At 39.0% G+C, this 18,569-nt stretch overlaps 1 protein-coding gene and 1 pseudogene across 17 annotated transcripts in view, besides 2 other annotated features; both read right to left on the bottom strand.

Moving 5' to 3' along the window:
* CD46 (CD46 molecule) overlaps nt 1–18,569 on the bottom strand; it is a 43,479-nt gene that overhangs the window by 18,965 nt on the left and 5,945 nt on the right. For 4 of the 17 annotated variants that reach the window (XM_047420894.1, NM_172351.3, NM_153826.4 and 1 more), the window contains exons 4-8: nt 16,828–16,913; nt 15,106–15,303; nt 9,357–9,539; nt 8,729–8,773; nt 6,190–6,231 (exon numbers count right to left, since the gene is read on the bottom strand). In XM_047420894.1, coding sequence (XP_047276850.1) covers nt 6,190–6,231; nt 8,729–8,773; nt 9,357–9,539; nt 15,106–15,303; nt 16,828–16,913 — 554 coding nt within the window. Of the gene's footprint in view, nt 1–6,189; nt 6,232–8,728; nt 8,774–8,900; nt 8,946–9,356; nt 9,540–15,105; nt 15,304–16,827; nt 16,914–18,569 lie in introns of all 17 variants that reach the window. The other 13 variants (XM_047420909.1, NM_172352.3, NM_172353.3 and 10 more) reach the window with 5 other exon arrangements.
* On the bottom strand, nt 11,965–13,963 carry CDCA4P4 (cell division cycle associated 4 pseudogene 4; annotated as a pseudogene).
* Nucleotides 12,744–13,542: an enhancer, noted in NCBI's record as "H3K27ac-H3K4me1 hESC enhancer chr1:207936355-207937153 (GRCh37/hg19 assembly coordinates)". NCBI's record gives its function as "activates a minimal SCP1, AML or CMV promoter by ChIP-STARR-seq in primed H9 embryonic stem cells {active_cell/tissue: H9 hESC(primed)}" and the evidence as "EXISTENCE:reporter gene assay evidence [ECO:0000049][PMID:30033119]".
* Nucleotides 13,543–14,343: an enhancer, noted in NCBI's record as "H3K27ac-H3K4me1 hESC enhancer chr1:207935554-207936354 (GRCh37/hg19 assembly coordinates)". NCBI's record gives its function as "activates a minimal SCP1, AML or CMV promoter by ChIP-STARR-seq in naive H9 embryonic stem cells {active_cell/tissue: H9 hESC(naive)}" and the evidence as "EXISTENCE:reporter gene assay evidence [ECO:0000049][PMID:30033119]".

Below are 18,569 nucleotides of genomic sequence, written 5' to 3'. Positions count from 1 at the left end.
CATTTTTTTAGATATGTCTTAAGTTTTTAATTTAAAAAAATTTTAAGTAAAAAAAAATCTTGTCCAAGATGGCTGAATAGGAACAGCTCTGGTGTGCAGCTCCAGCGAGATAGATGCAGAAGACAGGTGATTTCTGCATTTCCAACTGAGATACCTGGTTCATCTCACTGGGACTGGCTGGACAGTGAGTGCAGCCCACGGAGGGCGGGGCATCGCCTCACCCGGAAGCGCAAGGACTTGGGGGATTTCCCTTTCCTAGCCAAGGGAAGCCGTGACAGACTGTACCTGGAGAAACAGTACACTCCTGACCAAATACTGCACTTTTCCCACAGTCTTAACAACCAGCAGACCAGGAGATACCCTCCTGTGCATGGCTTGGCAGGTCCCACGCTCACAGAACCTTGCTCACTGCTAGCGCAGCAGTCTGAGATTGACCTGCGACACTGCAGCCTGATGAGGGGAGGAATGTCTGCCATTGCTGAGGCTTGAGTAGCTCACAGTGTAAACAAAGAGAACTGGAAGCACAAACTGGAGGAGCCCACCGCAGCTCAGTAAGGGCTACTGCCTCTATAGATTCCACCTCTGGGGGCAGGGCATAGTAGAACAAAACGCAGCAGCTTCTGCAGACTTAAACGTCCCTGTCTGACAGCTCTGAAGAGAGCAGTGGTGCTCTGAACATGGCATTCGAGCTTCGACACTGGACAGACTGCCTCCTCAAGTGGGTCCCTGACACCCATGTAGCCTGACTGGGAAAGACCTCCCAGTAGCGGCCGACAAACACCTCAAACAGGTGGTGGGTGCCCCACCTGGGACGAAGCTTCCAGAGGAAGGATCAGGCAGCAATATTTGTGGTTCTGCAGCCTCTGCTGGTGATACTCAAGAAAACAGGGTCTGGAGTGGACCTCCAGCAAACTCCAACACACCTGCAGCTGAGGGGTCTGACTGTTGGAAGGAAAACACACAAACAGAAAGGAATAGCATCAACATCAACAAAAAGGACATCCACACCAAAACCCCATCAAAGACAAAAGGTAGATAAAACCACAAAGATGGGAGAAACCAGAGCAGAAAAGCTGAAAATTCCAAAAAACAGACTGCCTCTTCTCCTCCAAAGGATCACAGCTCCTTGCCAGCAAGGGAACAAAACTGGACAGAGAATGAGTTTGATGAGTTAACAGAAGTAGGTTTCAGAAGGTCAGTAATAACAAACTTCTCCAAGCTAAGATGTTCTAACCCATCTCGAGGAAGGTAAAAACCTTGAAAAAAGATTAGATGAATGGCTAACTAGAATAAACAGTGTAGAGAAGACCTTAAATGACATGATGGAGCTGAAAACCACGGCACAAGAACTTCGTGACGCATGCACAAGCTTCAATAGCTGATTCGATCAAGTGGAAAGAAACTATATCAGTGATTGAAGATCAGATTAATGAAAAAAAGAAGACAAGATTAGAGAAAAAAGTGAAAAGAAACAAACAAAGCCTCCAAGAAATATGGGACTATGTGAAAACACCAAATCTACGTTTGATTGGTGTACCTGAAAGTGACGGGGAGAATGGAATCAAGTTAGAAAACACTCTTCAGGATATTGTCCACGAGGACTTCCCTAAACTAGCAAGACAGGCCAACATTCAAATTCAGGAAATACAGAGAACACCACAAAAATACTCCTTGAAAAGTGCAACCCCAAGACACATAATCGTCAGATTCACCAAGGTTGAAACGAAGGAAAAAAATGTTAAGGGCAGCCAGAGAGAAAGGTCAGGTTACCCACAAAGGGAAGCCTATCCAACTATCAGCGGATGTCTCAGCAGAAACCCTACGAGCCTTAAAAGAATGGGGGCCAATATTCAACATTCTTAAAGAAAATAATTTTCAACCCAGAATCTCATATCCAGCCAAACTAAGCTTTGTAAGTGAAGAAGAAATAAAATAGTTTATAGACAAGCAAATGCTGACAGATTTTGTCGCCACCAGGCCTGCCTTACAAGAGCTCCTGAAGGAAGCACTAAACATGGAAAGGAACAACCGGTACCAGCCACTGCAAAAACATACCAAATGGTAAAGACCATCGATGCTATGAAGAAACTGCATCAGTTAACGGGCAAAATAACCAGCTAACATCATAATGACAGGATCAAATTCAAACATAACACTATTAGCCTTAAATGAAAATGGGCTAAATGCCCCAATTAAAAAACACAGACTGGCAAATTGGATAAAGAGTCAAGACCCATCGGTGTGCTATATTCAGGAGACCTATCTCACATGCAAAGATGCACATAGGCTCAAAATAAAGGGACAGAGGAAGATCTACCAAGCAAATGGAAAGCAAAAAAAAAAGGGGTTGCAATTCTAGTTTCTGATAAAACAGACATTAAACCAACAAAGATCAAAAGAGACAAAGAAGGCCACTACATAATGGTAAAGGGATCAATTCACCAAGAAGAGCTAACTATCCTAAATATATATGCACCCAATACAGGAGCACCCAGATTCATAAAGCCAAGGCCTTAGAGACCTACAAAGAGACATAGACTCCCACACAATAATAATGGCAGCCTTTAACACCCCACTGTCAATATTGGACAGATCAATGAGACAGAAAGTTAACAAGGATATCCAGGACTTGAACTAGCTCTGGACCAAGCAGACCTACTAATCATCTACAGAACTCTACACCCCAAATGAATAGAATATACATTCTTCTCAGCACCACATCGCACTTATTCTAAAATTGACCACATAATTGGTAGAAAACACTCCTCAGCAAATGTAAAAGAACAGAAATCACAACAAACTGTCTCTCAGACCACAGTGCAAATCAGGATTAATAAATTCACTCAAAACCACACAAATACATGGAAACTGAACAACCTGCTCTTGAATGACTACTGGGTAAATAATGAAATGAAGACTGAAATAAAGTTGTTCTTTAAAACCAACGAGAACAAAGATACAACGTACCAGAATCTCTGGGAAACATTTAAAGCAGTGTGTAGAGGGAAATTTATAGCACTAAATGCCCACAAGAGAAAGCAGGAAAGATCTAAAATCAACACCCTAACATCACCATTAAAAGAACTAGAGAAACAAGAGCAAACAAATTCAAAAGCTAGCAGAAGGCAAGAAATAACTAAGATCAGAGCAGAACTGAAGGAGGTAAAGATATAAAAAACCCTTCAAAAACTCAATGATTCCAGGAGCTGGTTTTTTGAAAAGATCAACAAAAATGACCGCTAGCAAGACTAATAAAGAAGTAAAGAGAGAATAATCAAATAGACGCAATAAAAAATGATAAAGGGGATATCACCACTGACCCCACAGAAATACAAACTACCATCAGAGAATACTATAAACACCTCTACACAAATAAGCTAGAAAATCTAGAAGCAATGGATAAATTCCTGGACACATACACCCTCCCAAGACTAAACCAGGAAAGGTTGAACCTCTGAATAGACCAATAACAGGTTCTGAAATTGAGGCAATAATTAATAGCCTACCAACCAAAAAAAGTCCAGGACCAGATGGATTCACAGCCGAATTCAACCAGATCTACAAAGAGGAGCTGGTACCATTCCTTTGAAACTATTTCAATCAACAGAAAAAGAGGGAATCCTCCCTAATTCATTTTAGGAAGCTAGCATCATCCTGATACCAAAGCCTGGTAGAGGTGCAACAAAAAGAGATAATTTTAGGCCAATATCCCTGATGAACATCGATGCAAAAATCCTCAACAAAATACTGGCAAACTGAATCCAGCAGCACATCAAAAAGCTTATCCACCACAATCAAGTTGGCTTCATCCCTGGGATACAAGGCTGGTTCAACATTAACAAATCAATAAACATAATCCATCACAAAAACAGAACTAACAACAAAAACCACATGACTATTTCAATAGATGCAGAAAAGGCCTTTGACAAAATTCAACAGCCCTTCATGCTAAAAACTCTCAATAAACTAGGTATTGATGGAATATATCTCAAAATAATAAGAGCTATTTAAGACAAACCCACAGCCAATATCATACCGAATGGGCAAAAACTGGACATTCCCTTTGGAAACCGGCACAAGACAAGGATGCCCTCTCTCACCACTCCTATTCAACGTAGTGTTGGAAGTTCTGGCCAGGGTGATCAGGCAAGAAAAAGAAATAAAGGGTATTCAATTAGGAAAAGAGGAAGTCAAATTGTCTCTGTTTGCAGATGACATGATTGCATATTTAGAAAACCCCATCGTCTCAGCCCAAAATCTCCACAAGCTGATAAACAACTTCAGCGAAGTCTCAGGATACAAAATCAATGTGCAAAAATCACAAGCATTCCTATACACCAATAATAGACAAACAGAGAGCCAAATAATGAGTGAATTCCCATTCACAATTGCTACAAAGAGAATAAAATACCTAGGAATCCAACTTACAAGGGATGGATGTGAAGGACATCTTCAAAGACAACTACAAACCACTGCTCAACGAAATAAAAGAGTACACAAACAAATGGAAGAACATTCCATGCTCATGGATAGGAAGAATCAATATTGGGAAAATGGCCATACTACCCAAGGTAATTTATAGATTCAATGCTATCCACATCAAGCTACCACTGAATTTCTTCACAGAATTGGAAAAAACTACTTTAAAGTTCATATGGAACCAAAAAAGAGTCCATATAGCCAAGACAACCCTAAGCAAAAAGAACAAAGCTGGAGACATCAAGCTACCTGACTTCAAACTATACTACAAGGCTACAGTGACCAAAACAGCATGGTACTGGTACCAAAACAGATATATAGATCAATGGAACAGAATAGAGGCCTTAGAAATAACAACTCACATCTACAACCATCTGATCTTTGACAAACCTGACAAAAACAAGAAATGGGGAAGGGATTCCCTATTTAATAAACGGTGCTGGGAAAACTGACTAGCCGTATGTAGAAAGCTGAAACTGGATCCCTTCCTCACACCTTATACAAAAATTAACTCAAGATGGATTGAAGACTTAAATGTAAGACCTAACACCATAAAAACCCAACAAGAAAACCTAGGCAATACCATTCAGGACATAGGCACGGGCAAATACTTCATAACTAAAACACCAAAAGCAATGGCAACAAAAGCCAAAATAGACAAATGGGATCTAATGAAACTAAAGAGCTTCTGCACAGCAAAAGAAACTATCATCAGAGTGAACAGGCAACGTACAGAATGGGAGAAAATCTTTGCAATCTGCCCATCTGACAAAGGGCTAATATCCAGAATCTACAAAGAACTTAAATAAATTTACAAGAAAAAAACACCACCATCAAAAAGTGGGCAAAGGATATGAACAGACACTTCTCAAAAGAAGACATTTATACAGCCAACAGACATATGAAAAAATGCTCATCATCACTGGTCATCAGAGAAATGCAAATCAAAACCACAATGAGATACCACTCACGCCAGTTAGATTGGCGATTATTAAAAAGTCAGGAACAACAGATGCTGGAGAGGATGTGGAGAAACAGGAACACTTTTACACTGTTGGTGGGACTGTAAATTAGTTCAACCATTGTGGAAGACAGTGTGGTGATTCCTGAAGGATCTACAACTAGAAATACCATTTGACCCAGTAATCCCTTACTGGGTATATACCCAAAGGATTATAAATCATGCTACTATAAAGACACATGCACACGTATGTTTATTGTGGCACTATTCACAATAGCAAAGACTTGGAACCAACCCGAATGTCCATCAATGATAGACTGGATTAAGAAAATGTGGCACATATACACCATGGAATACTATGCAGCCATAAAAAAGGATGAGTTCATGTCCTTTGCAGGGACATGGATGAAGCTGGAAACCATCATTCTAATCAAACTATCACAAGGACAGAAAACCAAACACCGCATGTTCTCACTCATAGGTAGGAGTTGAACAACGAGAACACATGGACACAGGGTGGGGAACATCACACACTGGGGCCTGTCAGGGGTTAGGGGCTGGGGGAGGGATAGCATTAGGAGAAATACCTAATATAAATGATGAGTTGATGGGTGCAGCAAACCAACATGGCACACGTATACCTATGTAACAAACCTGCACGCTGTGCACACATACCCTAGAGCTTAAAGTATAATAAAAATAAATAAATAAATTCTTAACAATATCAGTAGGATAAAGAGTTAACCAACCTGGATAATTTGAGACTGGAGGCTTGTAAGTAGGCCTAGGACCTAGAAAAATAAGTTTGATTTTATAAATTCACCAGGGCCTTATCAATATAAAATTATGACTTTAATTTTGATATTGATTTTTTAAGTTTATCAAATGAAAACTACACACTTTACAAACTTTGCAATTCCACATCTTAGAATTTAACCTACATATATATTTGCACAAGTATGTAAGATGTATGTACAAGAATGCTCACCACACTCTGTATTTTATAATGGAAATCTTAGAAGATAACCATCATGAAAGTAATGTGAGGATGGGTGTGGTGGCTCACGCCTGTAATCCCAGCACTGTGGGAGGCCGAGGCAGGTGAATCACTTGAGGTCAGGAGTTCGAGACTAGCCAGGCCATCATGGAGAAACCCCGTCTCTACTAAAAATACAAAAAATTAGCCGGCATAGTGGTGGGTGCCTGTAATACCAGCTACTTGGGAGTCTGAGGTGGCAGGAGAACCGCTTGAACCCGGGAGGCGGAGGTTGCAGTGAGCCAAGACCGCGCCACTGCACGCCATCCTGGGTGACAGAGCAAGACTCTGTCTCAAAAAAAAAAAAAGGGAATGTGCTTGGGGTAAACATATGTATCTTTTTAAAAACTGTAAGTAGTATGATACTACATAATTTACATCTTTCTCTTTTCCACTTAGGACTTCCTCAACTTTTCTTCTTGTTAACACATTTAGATCTACCTTAACATCATGATGTTGTTATTTAGTCTTCCTCTAGCAGATGATAAGAAATCATTGACAATCCCAAGCAATTCTCTCTTCTGCTCTCCAACACTAAGCTATACCAGTGTTTTATAAATACTTTATGAAATGCTTATCATCAACTCTTTCAAAAGACTGTATCAACAAACGTAGTATTAGTGCATATACCCACTAGGAGCATGTGAGTTAAGCCCGGATGCCTCACTGAGTATAAATTTCACATGCAATCTTGTTTTGCTCATGTATCAGTCCACTAAAAAACTCATCTCTTCCTGCCCCTCAAACCCTACAGCACTCAACTCAGGAGGCTACCAGTTACCAAGCTCTTACAGGAATTATAAGAAGGTTTTTGTTTTGAGACAGAGTCTCACTCTGTCACCCAGGCTGGAGTGCAGTGGCATGATCTTGGCTCACTGCAACCTCTGCCCACTGGGTTCAAGCGATTCTCCTGCCTCGGCCTCCCGAGCAGCTGGGATTACAAGTGCCTGCCACCGCACCCCGCTAATTTTTGTATTTTTAGTAGAGATGGGGTTTCACCAACTTAGCCAGGCTGGTCTTGAACTTCTGACCTCGTGATCCACCCACCTCGGCCTCCCAAAGTTCTGGTATTACAGGTGTGAGCTACCCCACCCAGCCTATAAGAAGGTATCTTAATTACTATGTTAACATGCATAATTCTCTTCGATCCTTTAAAATATTAGGGAGATAGGAAATATATAACCAAATTAGAAGCCAGTGATTGAGATTTCAGTTCAACACTCACATTATACTAAAGGGAAACTGAAGACCACAGAAATGATGTTAACTAAGCACAGTCTGCCCAGACTGAAGTGCTACCCACAATTACTATTGTCTCTTGCTTCTGCTGGAAGCAAAGTGAAACCAGAGATGGTAGTGCTGAAATCAGGATAATTCCTTCCATCATATCAAAATAATCTCTCCAGTCATAAGCACAGTGGTTGACCAGGAGTCCCTGCAAAAGTCTTCTATTTTATTTCAGTAAATAAGGACTTTTCCTGCCTTTCAGTTGCTATAAAATTGAGTTGCTATTGCCAGATAAAACTGCCCACTAAAGAGAAAAAAAATAAATAACATTATGAGGTGTGGAAGAGGGGTGGGTAGGGAAGAGGCAGAAATACAGATCTTGTTCTGAGGACAGCAGAAATTTCCCTGTTTAAATGTTTTACATCAGAAGACTCAAACTAGTTGCATTCCAGGAAATGAAAGAGTCCTGCAATAGGAACAAACTCAGTAAAGGTGTCAACAGATCACTTCTGAAAAGAATAAAATAGCAAAGTTGATGACACAAAACATACATATTAACAAACAAACATATTAACATATTAACACACACACATACTAACAAACATACATGAACCTTCCCCTTCCCTAACATTAATTTAAGTGTAGGATAAGTCATATTGGCTAGCTCTAAGAGCTTTCTCTACACCAGGCACTGTGCTAAGTGCTTTAAATGCATCCCACTTATACCTTACTAATACCCAATAAGGAAGGTACTAAATCAATTTCTCTATATATAATGTAAACATATATATATAAACACATTCAAAATTTATACAACTTTCCCAAGGTCATATTCCTGTTTATATCAGATTATGGCAAATAATTTTAGAATCACTATGTATAACAACTAAAATGGCTATACAAATGTCCTCCCTCCTTTCATTACTAAAAATAAGTGAACATCACCAGAAATTTGAAGGATTTTATAAAAAATCACCAGGAATTTAAAGGATTTTTGAAAAACTATAAGCAGGAAATTACTAAACCTGAGGCACTGGACGCTGGAGATTTTGTAGTGGAAGAAGTCGACACTGGAAAACAAAATAATAATGTAGATTGGACCAAACACTTGGGAGTTATTGCTGGCAATTTCTCCAGGAATTCCTTATATCTTGTAACATATAAGGAAGAAGACATATAAGGAAGAAGCTACTAAACCTGAATGACTCAAAGCTGGAGGTTTTGTACTAGATGGAGGCAGCACTAGGAAACAAAATAATGTTAGAAGATCAACCACTTGGGAGTTATTGCTCTCATTTCATTTATATGAATTATGCCATTGTTGACTTACTTAGATAAAAATGCCCATGTTTCAATTCCAAAAAGTTGTTGTAATTCACTTTTTATACATAAAAATATTAAAAGCATATACCCATGCAATGTACATAACGTGCTAAGAACCCTGGAAAAGCACAAAAAATCACAACAGCAGAATTTTATGTGAATTTCGTGTCATTCATCTGGCATAGAAATGAATACAAGACAGAGTTAAATACTAAAATTGTTTCTTTTCAGTTATTTTGTATGACTGATAGTTAATATCAAAGAAATAAAGTCTAAAATGAACAGCAACAACAATAACAAACCAAGACAGAAAAAAGATAACCTTTGTACCTTTAAGACACTTTGGAACTGGGGGATCCCAAGTACTGTTACTGTCACAGACAATTGTGTCGCTGCCATCGAGGTAAAAACCCTTATCGCATTCAAACATAACTGTTGCTTTGTAGTAAAATTTTTTTCCAAATCCTGATATCTGTTTTCCATTTTCGACTACTGGAAATCGACATTTGACCACTGGAAAATTAGAGAAACCTCAGAATTAATGGATATCTGCTTTAGCAGAAAAAGTAGTACAAAGTAGTAATTTCCAGTGTGAACAGAGACAAGGAATGGAATGCAAGATGTTAAAAACATTTTTTAAAAGACTTTAAATGTTAACTAATATATTCTCCTTCATACAGAATTCTAGGGTGTTTTATTTTTCTTTCAGCACTAACAGAGATAACCATATTGTAACCACATTTTCTTAAGAAAACTTGGCTGGCTGTCATTCTTACTTGTCCCTGCCCTCCTAAATGTAATACGGGTTTTTGTTGTTTTCCCCACTCACTGGCTGCTTTTTAAAATTTTGTTTGGTAGTTTTTACCAAACTACTGCAGGGGGGTGGTGGTGGTGGTAAATTTTAATAATTTATTCATCCTGCTGAAGGTTCACTGAATCTCCTGGATCTGAGGTTGTTTTGGATCTAATTTGGATAATTTTTGGCCAATATTTTTTCAAATAATATTTTACACCATTCTCTCTCCTGTCTTTCTGAAACTCCAATTACATGTATGTTTCACTGCTTGATACTCTCCCACAGGTCTGTAAGCCTCTCTCTTTCTTTAGTCAACATTTCTTCTTAAATAAGGTTCAATTTCTATTCACCTGTCTTCAGGTTCACTGACCTTTTGTTGTGTCTAATTGTACCTAATGTTATTTGTAAAGGTTGGTTTATTGGATATAATTTACATACAGTAAAATTCACCATTTCAAGTGTACAGCTGTATCAGTTTTGACAAATGCAAATAATCATGTAACTACCACCATAGTAAAGATACAGAAAAGTTCCATTACTCTCCAGAATTTCCTCATGCTCTTTTGTGAGTTACCCCTCTTCCCCCTCATCCCCACTTCCACAACCAGCTAACCATTGATCTGCTTTTATCCCTATAGTGGGACTTTTTCAGAATGTCACATAAATGAAATTACAGTCTTCTTAGTATGGCTTATTTCACTAAGCATGATGCTTTCAAAATTCATTTGTGTTGCTGCATGAATCAGTTCATTCCTTTTTATTGCTGAGTACGAGTCCATCTTTTAGAGGTAGCACAGGTGGTTCATTCATTCACCAACTCAAGAACATGTGGCGATTTGCAGTTTGGGGTGATTATGAATAAGGCTGCTGTGAACATCCTCATATAAGTTTCTGTGTGAAAATGTTTTCAGTTTATTTGGGTTGCCGAGTTGTATGATAAGAGTATGTTTAACTTTATAAGAAATGCCAAAAATGTCCCAAAGTGGTCATTGCACTTTGATTCTCACCATCAGTATATGAGAGTTTCATCTGCTCCATATCCTTGTCAATACCTGGTATTGTCAGTTTGGGGTGTGTGTGTTTACATTTCGGCCTTTCCAATAGGTATTTAGTGGCATCTCATTGTGAGTAGAGACAGTTTTTATTTCTTCTTTTCCAACATGTGTGCCTAATAGCTTTCTCTTGCCTTACTGTACTGGGTGGGATCTCCAATATAATGCTGAATGGAGTGGTAAGAGTGGACATCCTCACTGTTTTCCTTCCAGAATTAGGTCTTTATTAATTAGACAGAAATGTAAGTAAGGTTTTTTTAACCACTAAGTACAATGTTACTTTTTACCACTAAGTATAATTTTTTTGAACCATGAAGTGTAATGTTAGCTGTGAGATTTTTGTAGATGTCTGTTATCAGGGTAAGATAGATAGTACCCTTCTGTTCCTAGTTTGCTGAGAAGTTTTATCATGAAAAAATAAGATGATGAATTCTGTCAAACATTTTCTTTGTTTTTTGCATCTAATAAGATAACCACATGATTTTTTTTCTCCTTAATAGTCTACTGATGTGGCAAATTACACTGATTAATTTTTGCATTTGAACTAATCTTGCATTCATAGGGTAAATCCTACTTGGTCATGATTTACTTTTCTTTTTATGTATCACAGGATTTGGTTTGCTAATATTTTGTTGAAGATTTTTGGTCCTGTGTTCATCAAGGATATTATTTGTAATTTTCTTATAATGTTTTTGTTTTCTGGTTTTCGTATAAGGACAATGCTATCATCATAAAATGGGATGAGAAGTGTTCCCTCCTCTTGCACTTTCTTGAAACGCTTGTGTAGAATTGCTGTGATTTATTCCTTAGATGGTTGGTAGAACTCCCCAGTGAAGCCATCTGGACCTTCAGTAGGTTATTAACTACAAATTTTATTTCTTTGGTAGATATAGGAGTATTCAGGTTATCCATATCTTCAAGTGAGTTTTGACATTTTGTATCTTTCAAGGAATCTGTCCATTTCAGTTGTCAAATTTGTAGGCATAAAGTTGTTTATAATATTCCCTTGTCATCCTTTAAATGTCTGTAGGATATTTAGTGATATTCTCTTTTTCATTCTTTTGTTTGTCTGTTGAATAATTTTGTAAAGTAATCAAGTAAAGTTTACATCACTGATATTAAAGAATGACCATATGCACAAAAGAATATAAAGCTTTTTGGCTAAGGGATGGGGGGAAGTCAGAAAAAGGATGAGAAACACATACGGGGTGGACGTGAGGAAGGAAAGTGAAAGGTGTAGGCACCCCCACCTCACTTCCTGAGGCAGGGCCGTCAAGGACTCTCAAGATCGAGCGGCCATTAATTACATGGATTCAGATTTCTTTCATTCTAGACTTAAATTTAACCTTAGGTTTTGGCTCCAGCACCAATTTAACAGAGCAACGTAGGCATTTCCAATCCAGCAGCACACGCTGTTTCCAAGCGCATGTGACTGGCGCACCGCAGCTCCGTGCACACCCCAGGAGCTCAGTCCGTGCCCAGAGCAGGTGCCTGTGCTGTGGAACCTGACAGGAAGCCTCCCAGAACACCGCCTATCACAAGGCGCCACCTGAGGGGATCTGAGGTCTCTAAAGATCAACTGGTGCCTGTGATTTCCAAAGATTTAACCTTAGCCTTCAATGACATTTACATATAAATTGTCAAATAAAACCCTCCATAATTTACACTTAAGTCTAGGAAGACATGGCACAAATGTTCCAATGACAAAAAAAAAAAAAAAAAGTGTAGCAGCTGTGTGTGTTTTCCCCACTTTGACCAAGCTCTCACTGTAACACAGGGCATAAATGAGAAGGGTTGCACACAAATTTAAAGTATACAAAAAAAAAAAACCAAAAAATCATACGTTAACGCTGTTGACTTGTTAACAATGCAAGGAAACTCACTGGAAAATAAAATCCCTTATTTGAACCTTAAAAGAATGAAATGTACCAACTAAACTGTGTAGGCTCTAATGTAGCAGCACAGAATGTTTCCAGAAAAAAAATACATTGAAAAAAAATAAAAAATATTCAGAGATAAAACTAAAAAGATTAAAATATATATATCTTAAGAAAACTTATTGCTCAAAACATATGAAACTTAATTCTAAGAAATTCACCTACCTAAATTTAAACAAGATTGCTGCAGTTGCAGCTCGCCGTCTCCGAGAGACACGAAAAGTGATGAGGGGCGCAGGGCTGTGGGGATGTCAAGACTGGCCCAAGGTCAAAAAGCCCTTGAGGAGAGCCCTAGCTCCCACTGAGACCAGCCTCTGGCCTGCCCTCTGCAGACGGGAAGGAAGGGGATGGGTCTGGGGCTGCAGACCCTGCTGGAATTAGCAGAGGAGCCAGCAAGGCTGGGGGGCTATAGGCTGGCCAGTCTCCCTTAGCTGGATCCCGTACTCCACGCCTGGCCAGCACTCCGGGACGCCTGGCTCAGGTCTCCATCAGGATCTCCACTACGTGTTCCTACTTGCCCAGGTCAGAATGCAATTGCAGCTGGAGGTGGGAGGCCGGACGGCAGCAGGCCCAAGCCTCTGAATGCTTTGCAGGGCCACCTCCCATCGTGTGGGTCAGCACCGTGTGTCCAGGTCATCATAGGAACTGACCACATCTGAGGCCAGTTCTTCCATGCAAACTGGGGTTTTTGGTCTTCAGTATTTCAAATATCTCATCTAGCTACTTCTGAACGCCTCCTCTATTTTCCCCAGGGCTGTCCGTCTCCCAGATGCTGCTCTTCAGGGCTCCTGGCGCCAGTGCTGAGGTGACAGAGCAAAGGTCTGAAAACTGGCCCCTTCACGCAGCAGTGTCCAAAGCGGGGGGCATGGCACACCCCCTCTGGCTTCCACATGGCGGGCACAGGCCACAGGCACAGGATCTCTGCAGAAACCAGGCAGTGGAACAACGCCAACCCCACACTCTCGGGTGCCTGTGTGTGCCACGTCTCATCCTGGGCCATCTCCTCTTGGATCTGCCAGGCGTGTTGGCGATGAGGACCCTGCGGCAGTGGTTGGGCTCCACCAGCAAGTGGTAAAGCTGGAACTTCTAAAAGGACAAGTCCGGGAGTGACTGCCCCTGCCGGCTGCAGGAGGGCAGGGTCTTCAAGCTGGCTGGGGTGCCGCGCCTGGCCACCACTTCTTTCATTCTCAGTATTGGTTAATTTGCGTCTTTTTTTGTCAGTCTGGCTACAGGTTTACACACTTTATTGATCTCCAAGTAGCAACTGTTGGTTTCACTGATTTCCTCTATTTTTTTTTCTTTTCTCAATTTCATTGATTTTGGCTCTATTTTTATCATTTCCTTACATCTGCTAGTTTGGGATTTAACTTGCTCTTTTTTAGTTTCTTAAGGTGGAAAATTAGATCATTGATTTGAGACTTTTCTTTTTTTCTAACACAAGTATATTATGCTATACATTCCCCTGTAAGCAATGCTTTAGCTGCATCCTACATATTTGGATATTTTGAGATGTTGTGTTTTTATTCAATTCAAAACACTTTCTAATCTCCCTGCTGACTACTTCTTTTATGCATGGGTTATTTAGAAGTGTCCTGTACACTTTCCAATTCTTTGGGGATTGGCTTTGTTATTGATTTCTGCTTTCATTCTATTGTGATAATGCATGTTGAATGATTTCAATTTTCTGAAGTTTGTTAAAAGTTGTCTTATTGTCTAGAATATGGTCTACTTTGGAGAATGTTTCATGTGTACTTGGGGAGTATATACTTTTAAATCACTGTTATTCAGTGATTTCTTTCTTTAAATGGGCAAGTCCCCTACATGGTCTTCATACTTTTGGTCACTCCAGAGTGCCTTAAACATTTGGTCTTTAAAAAAAAAATTTTTTTTATCCAGAGTTTATCATTTTTATTTGTGAGACGATTAGTCTGTCACAGTTTACCACTACCATAGCCAGAACTCTTAGATTTCTTGTAATACAAGATGAAACTTTCTTTAAGCCAGTGTGTATTTTTTTTTTTTGGTTCTTTCAAACAAAAACTTCTAACTCATGCAGGTACACAGTAGTTCACACTGTATAAAATGAAATGCCAAGAACATGTAGGGGTGAGAAATAGGGAACTCTAGCTAGAACTATTTTTTGACTTGAATTGACCTGAATTAAAATAAATTAGAAACCAATTATACAGGAGGAGGAAGCACATACACCTGCTTTGTTTATCTGTAGATGAAACTATTTACAAAATGTTTCCATAGTATTTACAAATGAAGAAGGAAATAAATTGAAACACTACCTTTACACTCTGGAGCAGCACGACTCCACACTGAATTGTCACCACAATAAATCGTGCTCTCTCCAATAAGTGAAAATGGATCTGGTCCAGGTGCAGGATCACAACTATAAGTTACTGCATCAAGATACTCAAATACTTCTACTTCACTAAAGGTGTGTTTTCCATTTTTTATTTTTGGAGGTGGTGTACACAAAACCTCTTAAAAATGAAGAAAAAGAGGAAAGGAAATGTAAAAGATTAAGACAGCATTAGTAAAATTTCTGTGTCTTCAATAAATTTGTCAATATAGGGTTTCTACAAGCTGTTTGTGAATTCAATATGGATTTAAAAGAAGGTTTCTATGAGCAAATATATCATCCCAAATTCAAACCATTAATGTAGTAACTAACTTTCAGAACAAATCTCATTTTCTTAAAGTGTAAATACCTATTGATATGGTTTGGATCTGTGTCCCCACCAAATCGCATGTCAAATTGTAGTCCACAATGTTGGAGGTGGGGCCTGGTGGGAGGGGTCTGAATCATGGGGGTGGATTTCTCATGAATGGTTTAGCACCGTCCCCTTGGTGCTGTTCTCGTGATACTGAGTGCTTGGGAGATCTGGTTATTTAAAAGTGCGCAACACCTCCCGTCCTCCCCACCTTGCTCCTCCTGCTCCTGCCATGTGAGACACCTTGCTCTCCTTCTGTCTTTCCCAATGGTTGTTAAGTTTCCCGAGGCCTACCCAAACCCCCAGCAGATGCCAGCACCATGCTTCCTGTACAGCTTGTAGAAACATGAGCCAATTAAACTTCTTTTCTTTATAAATTACCCAGTCTCAGGTATTTCTTTAGAGCAATACGAAAACGGCCTAATACGCCTGTATTTATTTGGAAGGCCATGCTAAGTTCTGTTCTAGTCATCACAAGAAATGCTGACAATTAATGAGAAAATATGCTTAACTCGGTGCTAGTTAAGAAATCCTTTGCAATTTATAAATATATCCATTTTCTAAATTGGTGATTCACAATACCACCAAAATATTATTGTCTTTTTTCACTCTGATCCTAATAAGAATATAGTGATATTTTTCCAAAGGCTACATATTGTGTGATAACACAACAGGCCAAATACAATCTTGCTTTAAGCCAGATGTTGAAGAGATATGCAAAAAATGTGAACAATGCCACTATTCTCACTAATTTTATTTTGATTTGGAAAATTATTATTTTTCATAAAAATTATGTTACATATGTTAATTTGTATTGCATTTATTCTTACAAATTAATCAGGCCAGGTGGGGTGGCTCACATTTGTAATCCCAGCACTTTGGGAGGCCCACGGGGGCAGACTGCTTGAGCATGGGATTTCAAGACCAGCCTGGGCATCATGGCAAAACCCCGTCTCTTCAAAAATTACAAAAAGCCAGGCATAGTGGCACATGCCTGAAGCCCCAGCTACTGGAGAGGCTGAGGCTGCAATGAGCTGAGATTGTGCCACTGCACCCCAGCCTGGGAAATAGCCTGAGACCGTGTCTTAGGAAAAACAAACAAAACCAAAAAGAATCAATAATTATTTAAAAACCTCTCCGTTTGAATTCCAATATGATAAATACCAATAGATATAACCCACATAAAAGAAACCTCTTTGGGATCTTTGTTAATCTTAAAGTGTAAAGGGTGTAAAGGAGGCAAAAATCTTTGAGGACTACTGGTCTAAATTTAAAAAAAAAGAATTTACTTACTTTCACATATTGGGGGCTTACCGCTCCAAATTGCTACTGATCCTTTAAGTTCACAATATAGAATTTCTTCACCAATTAAGTAATAACTAAATGAGAAAAGAAAGGGTTACTGTTTTGTATAGCAATTAATAAGACACACATAATAATGAAGGAATTTTTTATATGGTTTCTTTTCTACACTACAGTAGTTTGAGGGGGTGGTTTCTTAAACAACATACTATATAACGAAAGTGCTAAATAAATCTGCAATTTAATCAAATAGAGTTTCCCCATTTGAATATATATTGGCCAAGAGCAAAGATGTCTAAATAAATCTGCTGTGCCTTTCCACCCAGCCTCTTTGCTGCCTCCTGCAATCACATTACACATTCATTTCTGTGCCTTTTCTCACACCACTTTGCACAGTAAGGACAAGGACTGTGTAGAGAGAACAGGCCCTAGAGCTGGAATGGATAGATTCAAGTCCCTGCTTCTCAACTTATCTAGTTTCTTGAGCTTGGGTAAGTCACTTAAAGTTCCTTCACTCAGCTTCCTAATTGATTAAAAGGGGATAACAGTACATGGGGTTGTTTAGGGGATTAGATAAGTTAGCATTTGGCACATAGATAGTGCTACATGAGTTTTAGCTTCTATTAATATTATTTAGAACAGAGTGTATTTCTAGGAATAGCTCACTGAGTATAAGAATACTTTCATTAAGTATACCCCTATACTCAATGAAATCTTCCCTGATTTAAATTCACAGGAATCTCTCCTCCTTCTGGACTCTTAGAGTAATTATCATGAATAATTCTACTTATTTGGTATTTCTCATTTAGTATTTTGCTTTTATTGCTCTCAGTATATATTATTTCTCAATAAGGTTAGAACTTCTTTTAGGAAGGTCACTGTCTTAAAGTTTTGGTATCCCTCGGTGTGCCTAGCAAGCAGTATGTGTCAACTGAATATTCCAATATTTCTACTTGACCAAATTTTAAAAACTGTCAGTTGCCTTACATAGTCACAGCTGATTTTTCCTCCAAGACTCACTTACTTTTTCTATATTATGGTGTGTTACTGCTATTGTTTGAATCTGGTTTGTCTCTACCAAAACTCATATTGAAATTTAATTGCCAGTGTAACAGCATTGAGAGGTGGTGGGGCCTTTAAGAAATGACTAGGTCATTAAGAGGTATAATGCCTTTCTAGAGGGTCTTCATTAATTCTTCAGGGAATGAGTTCTCATTCTTGTAGGCTTGGATTCATTACCATAAGAGCACGTTGTTATAAAGCGAGAACCCCCTCCCTTGTGCTTTGTCTTTTTTGCACATGCTAAATTTCCCTTTCACTTTCCAGCATGTTATGATGCAGCACAAAAGCCCTTGCCAGACACTACTGCCATCCCCTTGAACTCTCCAGCCTCCAGAAATATGAGCCAAATACATTTCTTTTCTTTATAAATGCCTAGCCTCAAGTATTCTGTTATAGCAGAATACTTACATTTACTCTATAAATGCACATTTATCTTAAATGTCTAGTATCTCCAATATATACAACTTCAAAACCCTACAGAACAAAGGCTATTACCGAGGGCTCAGTACCTGCTCTTGAGATGCTTCACACTGTAGCAGTCTCAAAAATAAGGTTTTTCAACTGAGAGATTTTGATCAACATGATGGTAAAGGCTAACCGCGTCAGTTTTGGTCTGATAACACTTTACAGAGTCATCTGGATACAAGTGTATCTTTAGTTGGCAATTCTAT

Source organism: Homo sapiens, chromosome 1 (assembly GCF_000001405.40).
Source record: "Homo sapiens chromosome 1, GRCh38.p14 Primary Assembly".
NCBI classification, from domain to species: Eukaryota; Metazoa; Chordata; class Mammalia; order Primates; family Hominidae; genus Homo; species Homo sapiens.
This window is presented reverse-complemented; position numbering and strand designations above follow the sequence as displayed.